Genomic DNA, 14112 nt, shown 5'->3' on the forward strand with positions numbered 1-14112 from the left:
ACCTCCAGTTACTGTACAGATCTCTTCCTCTGAGACCCCTTCCCAACAGGCAGGTCTAAGAGCCTATTTGTTCTCTGTGAGAACATGTGACACATATTACCGCCCACATTGGAATAGAACTCTGTGCTCAGCTTCAGTTCTGACCACTTCCCAGCTCTGAGTGCCCTCAGGGCACCAGGGTACCTCCTTGCTACCTCACCGGAGTCACCCTTTCTGTGAAGGGAGGCCAGATTTTACGGATAAAAACACAGGACTCCCAATTAAATTTGAATTTGAGATAAACAATGAATAATTATGTCGTATAAATATGATCCATGTACTACGTGGGACATACTTATATTAAGCAATTATTTATTGTTCATCTGAAATTCATATTTAACTGGGCATCCTGCATTTTATCCAGCAGCTGTATTCCTGCGGCCCACGTGGTGGTTGGCACCTGCCGCCAATACTGCTTGATAGAGAAAATAGCATAATATTTTGCAATAGTATTTGGGGATGAATACTATAGGCTGCAAGGGTAACATTTGTGCATTTGTGTCGTTTTTGGAAGACGTTTCCATCATGTATAAAGCCTGTGCCTCGTGGATTGCAAATGAGACCCAGTTCCGGGGGGGGTGGGAATGAGAAAGCAGTTAGAAAAGAACCCCAGGGGATCTGAGACCCGAGCTTCATCTGCCGAGTATTTTATTCTCGTTAATTCATAACAGTGTCTTTAAAATCCTGGACTAGAATTTGAGAACAGTCAGTGTGTGCGACAGTCATTACTCCTTGGAGACTCCCACTCCGCCAGCCGGGCGCCCTTCGTGCGTTCTTGGTGCCACAGCGGCCTCCAGTGGTTCTCTGAGGAACCACACGCTGTCTCCACCGCCAGGCTCCAGCTTGTCCCTAAAGCCAGGGCGGAAGGCGGCGGCGCCCTGTGGCTGCCCAGGGGCCTGGGCTGTGTGGCCGGATCAGAGCTGTAAGGCACAAATCCAAGTGCGCGCCGCCGTGGAAACAAAGCCCTTCCCTGTTGCTGTGAAGCTCAGACCAGACAGGGTTCTATTTCATCTTCCACGCCAACGTGTAACGTATCTGCTGACCCAATTTTACAGATGTTCTCTTCAAAACGGACTCGGCTTTGTGAATATTTTTCTCTATCAAGCTGTGGTGATAGAAATGTCAAAAAGCAGGTTGGGGGGGGCTTGAAATAGAATGAGACACTGTTCTGCTCAGAATTGATTCTTATTCTATCAATTGGTTGGACTGGAATGAATAGTGGGAAAGGTAAAACCACTGGAATTAGGACCCCCTACCCCTGCCCAGTGCCTCTTACCGCCAACCTAGCAACAGCCTCGCTTCATTTCCTAGAAAGGGCGGCACCAGCGATCCATTATTGAAAACACGCGACTCCCATAACCTTGTTCATTTTCATATGTGTAGCTCAGGGCAAGAGGTTCTCTGCTACGGCTTCCCTTTGATTTGAAAGCAATACAAAGAATAAAGGAAAATCAAAACTGTGGCCATAGCAAGGCTGACGCTTGATCCTTCCACACACATGTGTGCCCCCCAGTTACTACAAAGGCAATTTTCCAAACGGGTGGTCGCCAGCCTTCTTCCTTTCACAAAGTGATTTTCTGGCGGTTTCATAGCTTTGAGGTGGCTCCTTTGCACATCATTTCAGCTGAAATCTACTCCCTGGATCGGGAGACCCAAGAAGAGAAACCTTGTGGAAGCAGCAGTCCTTGCAGAAGACTGGACTTGGAGGTGGGCTGAAAATAGACTTGGTGGACTTGGATCTGAGGCTGCTTCCACTTGGCTAGCTGTGTCTCCTTGGTGGAGCTGCTTGCCTCCTCTGGGCTTTAAGCTCCCACCTCAGAATAAGGAGCTGCAGTGGTGCATGCCTGTAGTCCCAGCGACTTGGGAGGCTGAGGTAGGAGAATCGCTTGAGCCCAGGAAATCGAGGCTAGCCTGGGCAACATAGGGAGATCCTGTCTCTAAAAAAGCAAAAGGAAAATAAACAAATAAGGAGGTGGATGAGTGTCCTTCCAACTCCCAGTCTCTGATTCAAGCTACGGTACCTTTGGTCTTTCTCAAACTCTTTAAAGACAATTATTTTCATTCATTCATTTAGCAAACATGTAAGTGCCTAAATTTGCCAGGCCCTAGGTTAGAGGCTTAGTCTAGAAAAATGAATAAGAAATGTCCCCTTCCTTAGAAATAGGTCATTGCAAAGCAACGTAAGAAGTACTAGAGGGAAGATAGGAACTCAGGTTCTGTGCACTCTGCTGATGGGAGTGTGAATTTGTGCTACCTCTCTGGAGGAAATTTGGCACTAACTTCCAGATTTTCAAATGCAGACACTTCATCAATCAGGAGCCCTGGTTGTTTTACTGACTAGTTAATTTAAGCAGAAAAAAAAGGTTTTTTCTTTTTTGTCTGTTTGTTTTTGAAAGGCTTGAGTAGCTCATAGAATCCCAGAGAAGGCCAAAGTCTCAAACCTAAAAAACAGGTAAGGACAAAGGTGACCAGGCAAGCTGCCATAACCACACAAAAACAGTTTGGTAACCATAGTGACACTACCAGTGCTGGACACTGGTGGTTAACATCACCACAGAGCCTTCCTCTGGGGGAAGATGAATTCACACTGGTTCCTGCTTTACCAACTCAAGGAGGAAAGCATCTTGCTGAGTTGAGTCAAAGTCATATGCCTGCTGTCTAGCCACAAGGAAGTCATGGGAAAATGAGCTCCTGGCACTTTGCACCTCTGCAGTGGCAAGAGGGCTCTCCCTGCCTGCCACTCAAAATAATTGAGTGCAGAATTTCCCAAGTAGAGAAAGGCACTTAGGATGCTGGTGTCCAACATCATGTCAAATGTCCTCTACACATGCTTTTGACCCAAGAATTCTATTTCTACAATTTTATCCTTTAGAGATACATTAATACACAAGTGCACAAAGATGGCTGCATGGTGATGTTCTCTGCATCATAGTTTGTAATAGAAATGACACTGGAAACAACCTAAAGAGTCAGCAATAGGAGCTTAGGGAAATGACAGAAAACAATGCGGCCATTATGAACACTGTATTCATTCATTCCACAAACATTTGTTGTGGGTGTTACTGTGTACTGGGCACTAGGAGGCAATGATGCAAAAATAGACACTCTCTACCCCCATGGAGCTTTCTGGGGAAACAGATACAAATGAAATAATTACACAAACCAGTGAAAAAGTACAACCAAGCTGAGGACTATGAAGAAGTGGTATGTGTGTGATGCAAGCTGCTATGCAACCTAGTCAAAGGCATCAGGGAAGAATGCCCTTGGAAAGGAAGGGTTAAGTTGGCCATGAAGATGGAGTAGGAGTTAAAACAAGGAGGTGTGGCAGGTCAGCAGGGGGCAAACCATGAATGGTCTACACAAAGGGCAGGTTCAGGTGTTTTCTGCTTGTCCACATAGTAATGGGAAGCCATTGGGAGGGAGGGAGAGCAGGGAGGTACAAGCGGTAGGCAGAGACACAATCAGGTTTGCATTTTGCAAAGATCATATTCAGAACTGTGTGAACTTGTTTGCAGTGTAGCAAGAGTAGGAGATCAGTTAGGAAGTGGTTCCATGTCCAAGTGATAGGAGATGGCTTCAGAATGGTACCCGGTGGAGGTAGAAACCTGGATGGATACACTGATACACAAAGTATCAGTGGATGCATGTATCAGATGGATACATGGATACACAAAGAGGTAAAATCCACAAGGCCTGGTGATGGATGTCTCTATTCCATAGAGTTTCTGGGCTATCCAGGGCACTCTGTGAGCAAACAGAGTCATGAAACTCAAGGCTAGGAAAAGCAGCATCCTCAGTATTATCTTTTGTGGAAACACTCACATTTATTAGACGTCATGGGAGAGGAAGGAAACTCAGAGGTTTCTAGTTTTGTCCTCCAGGAAATGGCCTCACATGTTTATATGGAAATTCTTCCAATTTGTGTGTCACAGAAATTTGGAATTGGGGAAGCCCTTAGAAATCACACAGTGTGAAAAGCAGACTAGAGGTGCCATGCCACCACACACCCAGGTTGTAAAACAGGATGTAGAAAAACCAATAGGAGATAGAGTATGAACCATTTTTTTATATATGTATTATTCAGGGGAAGGACTATGCCAAGTAAACAGTGGTGTTAGATTATTTTCTTTGCTTTTGTATATTTTTCTAATTTTTCTGTGATGAATATGTAATAATTTTTCAACTGAGAAAAAATGCAATATTATTTTTTAAAAGAAATCACCTATTTAACATCTTTTCTATGGGTGAGGAAACTCAGATGGGAGGGTCTCTCCACTGAACAGGAAGAAAGAGAAATCCAATCTACTACTACTACATGAAATGGTTTGTTATTAAATCATCTTGATTTGAAAGCTCCTTGCAATCTTTAAAAATGTATTCAAGGCTATATGCAAAGGGCCAATCACCTGATATAGTCAGCATGCTATTTTAATAATTGAGCATGCATTCTCCAATCATAGAAGTCTCAGAGAAAGAGGGGATTTTAGTAGTTTTTCTTTCTGTAGCAAATGTTTGCCTATGTTAGAGTTTCTCGGCCTTGGAACTATTGCCATTTGGGCCAGATAGTTCTTTATTGTTCTGGGGGAGGGGGTGCTGTCTGTGTGTGATTCCTATCATCCCTGGCCTCTACACACTAGATGCTAGTAGCAGCCTTTCCCCAGTTGTGATAACCAAATATGACCCTAGACACTGACAAATGTCCCAAGAGGAGAACTGCTCTCTATTGAGAACCTCTTGCCTACGTGATGCTTACATAGCTCAGATGACAGCTCACCACACTTAGGAGCAGGCTCCTTCAATGGTAAGCTGCTATGTTAGAAAGTTCAGCCTCTGTTTTTTAATTTTTTTTTTTTTTTTTTTTGGCGGAGTCTCACTCTGTCACCAGGCTGGAGTGCAGTGGCACGATCTCAGCTCACCGCACCCTCCACCCCCCAGGTTCAAGCAATTCTCCTGCCTCAGCCACCCAAGTAGCTGGGACTACAGGTGCACGCCACCAAGCCTGGCTAATTTTTTTTGGTTTTTTTTGTATTTTAGTAGAGACAGGGTTTCACCAAGCTGCCCAGGCTGGTCTCGAACTCCTGAGCTCAGGCAATCCACCCGCCTTGGCCTCCCAAAGTGCTAGGATTACAGGCATGAGCCACCACACCCGGCCGAAAGTTCAACCTCTGGATGGCCATCTGTCTCCTTGCAGGGTCCAGTGCTGGATCTTCCCTTGGGGCTCTAGATATCATGTGTTTAATCTCTCTTGCCTCTGATGGTTCTTCAGAAATTTCAAGATAGTGCCATGCTCTCCCCCCAACCCCCTACTTTTACCCACCCGAGTCTTTTCTCTCCCCATTTGAACACTTCTTCAACTGTTCCTCACATGATATGCTGGGTCTCACCCATCTTAGGGCTGTCCTCTGAACAGGCTCCAGTTTGTCCACATTTCCATGACAGCTCCATGTTCGCAACTAAACACAATTCTCCAGGTGCTGGCTGACCGTGACACGTAGGCAGAGCAGCTTACCTCCTCCTTCCTCCTGGATATCCATTTATGTAGCCTGAGATGCCTTTCACTTCCTGGCAGCCACATCACACCGCATCCCCATTCTGAGCTGTTGGCCACAATGTAAAAGGGTTGCATGTGCAATACTGCTCCCTTGGGTCACCCCTCACTAGCACCTTGGTTCTGGGGCCTTCCTGTTAGGTCTCCATTTATCCTTTTCAAACTTCAGCAGTTTCCAAGAACTGGTAGGCATGCTTGCCTCTGAGGATAATAGGGTAGCTGGGAACAGCATGGAAGAGGAAATGACTCTTCATTGTATACATGTTTGTGCCTTTGTTTGAGACAAGGTCCCACTCTGTCACTCAGGCCAGAGCGCAGTGACATGATCAGAGCTCACTGCAGTCTTGAACTCCCAGGCTTAAGTGATCCTCCTGCCTGTGCCTCCCGAGTAGCTGGGACTAGAGGTGCCATGCCACCACACCCAGCTAATTTCTTTAAAAATTTGTGTAAAGATGGGTGTCTTGTTATGTTGCCCTGGCTAGTCTTGAGCTTCTGGCCTCAAGCAATCCTCCCTCATGTTTGTGCCTTTTAAACTTCGCACCATACATAATAAACAAGCCAGTAAATGAATACATTGAAGTTACTTCACCTGCTGAGATTTACTCAATCCTTCCAGCCTGCCTTTATCTATTTGGAAATGTATGTCTTCCAATGTCCTCACCAATATAAGAAGCACTGCCTTCCGAATTTTTAGTCGAAACCAGTAGGATAGGTAGAAAAAGATAAACTAAGGCTCATGAAGACACTAAGCCAAGACCACTAAACAGGCAAATTTCCAGTTGGAACCCCAAGAACCCACTAATTTGCTTCCTTTACCTTGTTGCTATTGCATATATGGTTTCCCTAAGCCTACCTAATTGGTCAGCCCACTTCCTCTTTCTTTCTGGGGAGTCTCTGTACTGTAACTGCAGGGCAAGCTGAGAGACATACCACTGCCCAGAAAAGTGTGTCTATGGTCAAGTGCAACTCACCATCTACCCTCAAGAATTCAACTCCCTAATAAAACCCACACCACAGCTGCCTTGGCCCTCACATGGGGAGGAACAGGTTGGATACTTTAAGGGGGCACACCTGTACCACGGTATCAAGCTCTGTTAAATGGCTCCTTTTATTTTAAGGCAGCACCAAGCGGTCCCAAACCAGCAGCAAGAATTGCACACACGATAATGGCAAATTTAATGTGATTTATTCATATAATAACTCATGCTGCACTTAACACAATACAAACTTATGTTTTTCAATAGTGTAGAAGATGTGAATTCATAAAAGCTGTAAGTTAATGAGTACTGAATAAAAATCACCTGCAAAAGGTTCTTTCAGAAACACACCCAAAACTACAATAAATTAGGGCAAGGGGTTTGTAAATGGCAGCTTCAGTCCTACTCCAAACCTTCTCACCCATATAAATCATAGTCCCTGACTTTTATAGAGGAAAAACCAAAAGCAGTTAACCCCTGGCCTTTGCTCCTCTCCTTGTCCACGTCCCAACTCTTGTTTCCTAGCATGTGCTGAATACACTACTAGACCTTGAGCTTTTGTTCCTCATTGGCAGTGGGAGCCCTCTTGCCTGGGCCGTCACATTACTCAGAGCCAAGTACCTGAGGGTTGGCTCCCAGCCACCTCATCTGGAACCAACTTGTCGGTTTGTTCTCTCCCACCCAAACTCTTCCCCCATCAGAGGATAAGGACTATCACCTAGAATCCAGAATCAAACAAGGGCATCCTTTGGTGATTAGCACCATACATGACAGTGATGTCAGGCAGGGCATGGAGTAATAGCCGGGAAACTCTGATCCCAAAGAAAACCCTTGAGCGTGGGCTCCCCACAACAGACTGTGTTTTATCAGACACTCAGAGGAAAGTGGCATCTGTCCCATCAGGTGAGTTAGTGGACAGGGACACCAACGGGAGCTTTCAGTAACATGTGGAAAGGCAAGACCCAAGAGCAGTGAGGGCTCTTGGCCATTATGGCCAAACGATTGGTGATGTGAAGGCAACAACTGACAGTCCTCTCTGCTTGAAGTTCTCATGTGCAGAAGAGAGAAACTGTCCTGAAGTACCAGGGGACCACTGAGTGCAGTGGGGCTGATGGCAGGTTCCACCACAACGGGCTATGCCTAAGGCCCCAAGGGACACCCTGGGTTCTACTTTAATCCCAGATCCCAGGCCAGAATTCAAGAGATTCCTCTGAAGAGCTATAACCTGCAGGATGGACTTGGGAAAGGAAAAGGGGCTGAGCCTCTATTTGGGAGTTTATACCCAAAGCGCTTCACACAGTAAGGTATGGACAGCTTGGGAACCTGACAGGCGGCAAAAGATTGGGCAGAGAGGGAAGAGTCAGTTTCCCTCTGTAGCTAGGGTGAGGCTGCTCCAGAGTCACTTGGTTACCTCCCAGCACAAACCCCAACATCTTAAGTGATTAAAGATTAATGTAGGTTGGGTGTATACCCAAAACAATTAAGAGCAGGGACTCGAACAGATATTTGTACATCCTTGTTGACAGCAACATTATTGCAATGGCCAAAAGGTAGAAATGACCCAAGTGGTCACTGGTGGATGAATGGATAAGCGGAACGTGGTACATACATTTCAGTCCAAAAAAAAAAATTAATGAAGCAGGGCTGTGCAGCCATTACAGCTGTTAATCAAGAACTGTCAATGACATAAAAAACCAAGCTAACATTGTGTTAGATCAAAAAAACAAGATATAGATTATATGTGGTAGTCTGCATGTATGTAAAGCTAAATATGTCCATATCTGCATATATGTCTTTAGGCAGGTAAAAGAATGAAAGGAAATATACAAATGTCAGCAGTGGGTATGTCTCAAATGCTGGGCTTCTTTTCATCTCCAGTTTTCACATGTTCCAGATTTTATGCAATGAGCATATATTACTCTGATAATGGGGTGGAGAGACACAGTAAGCATAAAACCAAACCCCAAACAATGCAAAGGAAAATGAATATTTATTCAATGTCCAGATTGGGGAGGGGTCTGTGTGTTTAACAGGAAAAGATACAGAAAAAAACCTATCACACAGGAAAAGATAAATATGTTTGATTATTTTAAAAGGTGAAACCCATAACCAAAATTTAAAGGCAAATTCACACAAGTGGAAATACAGATGCCCAACTATCGTACAAAGAGAACCATGATCAAGGTCACTAACAAGCAAAGAATTTTAAGTTTTTTTTGTTTTTTGTTGTTTTTTATTTGAGACGGAGTCTCGCTCTGTCACCCAGGCTGGAGTGCAGTGGCGCGATCTTGGCTCACTGCAACCTCCGCCTCCTGGGTTCAAGCAATTCTCTGCCTCAGCCTCCCAAGTAGCTGGGATTACAGGCGCCCGCCACCACGCCCGGCTAATTTTTGTATTTTTAGTAGAGACGGGATTTCACCATCTTGGCCAGGCTGGTTTTGAACTCCTGACCTCGTGATCCACCCGCCTCAGCCTCCCAAAGTGCTGGGATTACAGGCGTGAGCCACCGCGCCCGGCAAGAATTCAAAGTTAAAACAGGTTACCACTTTCACCTATTACCATCAGGTTGCTTATTTTTGTTTTATGTTTTTTATTTGTATGCATGTTTACTTTATGTTTCAGTTTACTACCCCCTAAGGCAGCAAGAGAGCAGGAAGATAAGCAAAATAGAGATGTTTTTGACAACTTGGCACTGAGAGACTATCCTAAGGGAATAATCTGAAATACATAAAAACATTTTATTCACAAAATTGGTCATCACAGCATTATTTACAATACTGAAAATCTGGAAATAGCCTAAATTTCTAACAATTGAAAGAAGGTTAAGTAAATTATAAGACTACACAATAAAATATATTACCAGCAATATATCTTTGTGAAAATCTATAATAACCACACATAATACTTAGTAAAAAAGAACATAAATTACATGATAAAGAATATGACCAGAACAATGCAAAAAATTCACACCCCCAAAAAAGACAAGATATTATATGGCAATTTTGTGGTAAAATATTCATGTATTTGTGCTGCATTTCTAATTTTTCCGTAACTGACACATCAGTTTTATAATTAGGAAAAAAATACCTTTTTAAAGTAAAGCGAACACAAGATTCTTTAGCAATGTTCATTCCATCCCACAATAGAGTCTAGAGAGTCACAAAAACCTCAGCCTCCTTCGGGAGGGGGGGAGCTTGGTAGTGAAAAATGGTCATGAATGAATGGGTGAAGAGAGGGATGGGACAACCTAGTAGGAGGGAGGTAGGGATAGGCAAGGGAAAGGTGGGGACCAGTAGTCATACTGGTCAGCCAAGGAAAGGGGCATTGTGGAGTCAGGGAAGACTCTGACTGCTCAACAGAGGTCTGTCTAGACCCAGTAGTAGGCACTGACGGTGTTATCAAAGGACAGGATCAAAGAGAGATTTTAGGAAGACACGTGGATTATTTTAGGGACAGGGGAGGAAAGAGGAGGGGTGGGTAAACTACTTGGAAAGAAAGGGAGAAGGACTGAGAAGATGGCAATGGGAGTGGGGAGGAAGGGGCTGATTGCCTTTGTGACCTCACTACCAAACATACTTTGCTCACCTCCAGATAAGTCTTTGTGGGGCAAATGCAGGATAAAGAAACAGCTCATAAGAGGCACTTGCCAACATCCAACAAATTCAGTTCAAAACCACAGAAAATCTAGGAGTCTCCAAAGAAAATCACAGTCCTGCTGTGTTGCCGAGGCTGGAATACAATGGCACGATCTTCATTCACTGAAACCTCCGTCTCCTGGTTCAAGCGATTCTTGTGCCTTGGCCTCCCAAGAAGCTGGGATTACAGGCATGCACCACCACACCCGGCTAACTTTTGTATTTTTAGTAGAGACGGGGTTTCACCATGTTGGCCAGGCTGGTCTTGAACTCCTAACCTCAAGTGATCCGCCTGCCTGGGCCTCCCAAAGTGCTGGGATTACAGGTGTGAGCCACCGCATCCGACTTCTAACGCACTGGGTTTTAACAAGCCCCTCAAGTAGTTCTGATGCTCCCTCATGTTTGTGAGCCACTGAATGAGGGCCATGCAAAATGTCTAGAATCACTAGTTCTGCTGTCAGCTAAACCACATGAAAGAACCCCTGCTCATGTGAAAGAGAGATTTCTACAAATAAAGTGACGGGAGGACCACTAATAAGTTATGTCCAGCTTAGTGGGGTTGGGGAAAGGTTATATGAAGCAACAAAGATACAGTTTCTCTAAGCCAAGTAAAGGTAAAGAACTGTGGAGCAGGCAATAAAGCCAAATGCACTGAACTATGTCATAAGGAATTTACAGGCTGTATTGTAAAAGCCACAGTGAACATGATGACAGCAACAACGAGGATGAAGAACAGCAAAGAAAAAGCTGAGGGAAACCATCGACCAAAGCAAGCGGAGGCTCAAAAGAGAGACGAGCTTCAGGATCAGGAAATGAACAGGGCCCTTCAGTCACGGAGAAGTCGTTGTTGCCAGAACAGTCAGTCACTTAACTGCTTAGAAGATCACCGTGTTACCATATAACCTCTATTGTAGGCTAATTAATTTTTAAAATCTGTCTAAAATTTACTGATTTTAATATAATATCTTGTCATTTTTGGCAACAATACACTGAAGTAACAATGTAGTTTGCTGTATTTTGTTTCACAAATATTTACCTGGAAACACTGGAGACTTTGTAAAGAGAAAATTACTAAAAATTACTCCTTCACTACAGGACAGTAGATATTTAATATTTATTTAGAAAGCTATTGACACTTCTGATGACTACTGATAACTGAGAAGATTCAACATGTTATAAATATGAGTTGTAAATATTCCATCCCTTTTGAGATTATATACACTAAGCTTTTTACTACCACTGGCCTTTCTGGATACTTTCATATTTAGAGAATATAGAACTACATTCTGGGAGATTGACAATGACCTAATATTACACTAATGAAAAGTCTTCACAGTCCTCAAAATAATTTAGAATTTAATGTTTTCTTTAATAAGCAATTAAAATGGAATATTTTCTGCCTCCTGAATAAATACATGTCTGTAACCAACCATCCCTAAAGAAGGATACTAATATATTTTGAGTGATTCAATCCACCCATGGATATAGTCACATCTTTAAATGTTTTCCAGTGTGAACAACAGTCTTTTAATAGATGGCCATTGAGTTCAAGGGTCATATTATTTGCTAACAAATTATTATTTGGGCCAGAAAGTATCTGAAAAAAGTTTAACCAAATTTCCTACACATCTCATATCTCTAGTTTATTAAGCATTATTTATTATTTGGTGTAAAAATTCTACATTAATTACTTCATACATATTTTATCTTGAGATTATGAAATCCCATGGTCTTAGAAACAAAAGATAGACTTTAAGACACTGGCTTCTGCTATTTTTTTTTAACTTTAGATTTGAAAAAGAAACATGGATTACATGTTAACATAATATTTTGAATATATAGGGCTCATAAGATATATTATTAAATTATAAACAAAATAATCAGGAACTTAGTGTGGTGCCTAGTTTGATATATGATTACTTTTTGAAATGCACTAAATTCCACAAATAATGAAAGTATTCTTTGTGTATAATGTTATGTTTGGTTATTATGTATGGTCTTCGTATCCAAAGGTATGACATAACTTGAGTTTGTTTGCTTTGTATTTATTCAGTAAATAAGCCGTAACTGTTTTAAAAAGAGGGAAATTAAAAAAAAAACTGGTCCAATTACCAATTATAAATTTTAATAAAGACTAAACGAAAAGGTTTGGCTGTTACATATTCTCAGGCCAAATTGTTGATGCATGTTTGGATTAACTAGCCCTCAGGCTGCTTCCAATATTATGGGTAATCACAAAACGACCAGCTCTAACTCCTCCTCTCACCAGCTGGAAGGGAGCACATCACATTTGCCATCCATGGTTGGCAAAACTCAAGGCATCAACAACTGGAAAAGATCTCCACCTTGGGAATCATTATACATATTGTGATCCTGCAATGGGTCAGAATCCACAAAATACAGTTCCCCTGCATGGATGTCAGAAAAGTTAGCTAGAAATTCATCAGGATTGAAGCCAACCCACACAGTATACCTATAGTCTATGGTGCGTATGGAATAGCCCATGATCTTTATATCTTTTAAACTCGGCTTGTCAGAATTCCACTGAGGGATGTCTGAAGGCCGGGGATACTGGCTATAGGCAATCAGTTCACGGGGATTACCAGGGAGGTACGGATCCTCTTCCAAGTCACGGAATCGAAAATGCTTCAGAAGGTTCTTGCCTTCTCTGCACAGCTCAACGTGAAATGAAGGAACGGGGCAGCGAGGTGGAACCTGCAGTCCTGCAAGTCCAGCCAGCGTGGGAAAAAGAGACACAAGTTCCACAAGGTCCATGGATTGCCTGCCTGAAACAGGAAGCGACAGAGCAGAATGGGTTACATTATAAAAGCCTGCCATGGCCAGGCAGGAGCAGTAAAGGAACCTGTCTGGGCTCCATATGTTTTCTTTTTTTAATTTACAACATTTATCTTTAGCAACAGACGTTTAGAAACACCACCTCGGCACCTCACCCTGCATTAATTACTCATCCAATCAAATAGCAGGATGCAAAATTAGGGCCCCACGAGGCTGTTGGCGCTTTTTAAAACAACCTGAATTTTGGAACCACCGATTTAATAACTGACTCAGACAAGGATCATCAATTAAGGCTACAACCACTAGGTAAAAGAGTCTGTTGAGGAACAGGATATTCTGACTCCCACAGGATCACCCCACACATTACTCCCTTCTGGATGTCTGCATTAGAGTTATCTTTGCATTTTATTACGATCAAATACACACACCATGACATTTACCATCGTAACCACTTTTTAGTATACAGTTCAGTGGAATTAAGTACACTTATACTGTTGTGCCATCATTACCACCATCTATCTCCAGAACTCCTCTTAATTTACACAACTGAAACTCTGTCCCCATTAAGTAACAACTCCCCTTTCTCCATCCTCACCCAGCAACTGGAAACCACCATTCTACTTTCTATGTCTATGAACTGGACTACTCTAGATACCTCATAGGAGTGGGATTATACAGTATTTGTCCTTTTGTGACTGACTTTTTTCACTTAGCATAATGTCCTCAAGGCTCATCCATGATGTAGCATGTGTCAGTTTCCTTCCTTTTTAAGACTGAATAATATTCCATTGCATGGACGGACCACATTTTGTCTGTTCTTCTGTCAATAGACATCTGAATTGCTTCCACTTTCTGGTTACTGTGAATAGTGCTGCTATGAACAGTAATGTACAACCTTTGATTGAATACCTGTTTTCAGCTCTGTGGATATATACCTAGGAGTGGAACTTCTGGGCCATAGAGTAATTCTATGTTTAACTCTGAGGATCCACCAAATTCTTTTCCACAGTGGCTGCACCATTTTACATTCTTACCAGCAATGCACAAGTGTTCCAATTTTTCCATATAATCACTAACACTCTTAACACTTGTTTCATTCTTTTTTTTTAGACGGGGT

The 14112-nt window shown here is 42.8% G+C and overlaps 1 protein-coding gene and 1 long non-coding RNA gene across 3 annotated transcripts in view, besides 1 other annotated feature; both read right to left on the reverse strand.

The window, feature by feature from the left end:
* LOC107985667 (uncharacterized) lies at window positions 671-1904 on the reverse strand. Its single transcript, XR_001755972.2, has 2 exons — window positions 1316-1904; window positions 671-1144 (listed from the first exon to the last, which is right to left on the reverse strand). It is a non-coding gene; the product is annotated as an uncharacterized LOC107985667 (long non-coding RNA).
* Window positions 725-1019: a silencer, noted in NCBI's record as "tiled region #6851; HepG2 Repressive DNase unmatched - State 12:CtcfO". NCBI's record gives its function as "represses a minimal TATA promoter and a strong SV40 promoter by Sharpr-MPRA in HepG2 cells {active_cell/tissue: HepG2}" and the evidence as "EXISTENCE:reporter gene assay evidence [ECO:0000049][PMID:27701403]".
* IDS (iduronate 2-sulfatase) overlaps window positions 6755-14112 on the reverse strand; it is a 28319-nt gene continuing 20961 nt past the window's right edge. For both annotated transcript variants that reach the window (NM_001166550.4, NM_000202.8), the window contains exon 9: window positions 6755-12985. In NM_001166550.4, the coding sequence (NP_001160022.1) occupies window positions 12513-12985 (473 nt within the window). In that variant the 3' untranslated portion in view covers window positions 6755-12512. The remainder of the gene's footprint in view (window positions 12986-14112) is intronic.

This window comes from Homo sapiens, chromosome X, assembly GCF_000001405.40.
Source record: "Homo sapiens chromosome X, GRCh38.p14 Primary Assembly".
Classification (NCBI taxonomy): Eukaryota; Metazoa; Chordata; class Mammalia; order Primates; family Hominidae; genus Homo; species Homo sapiens.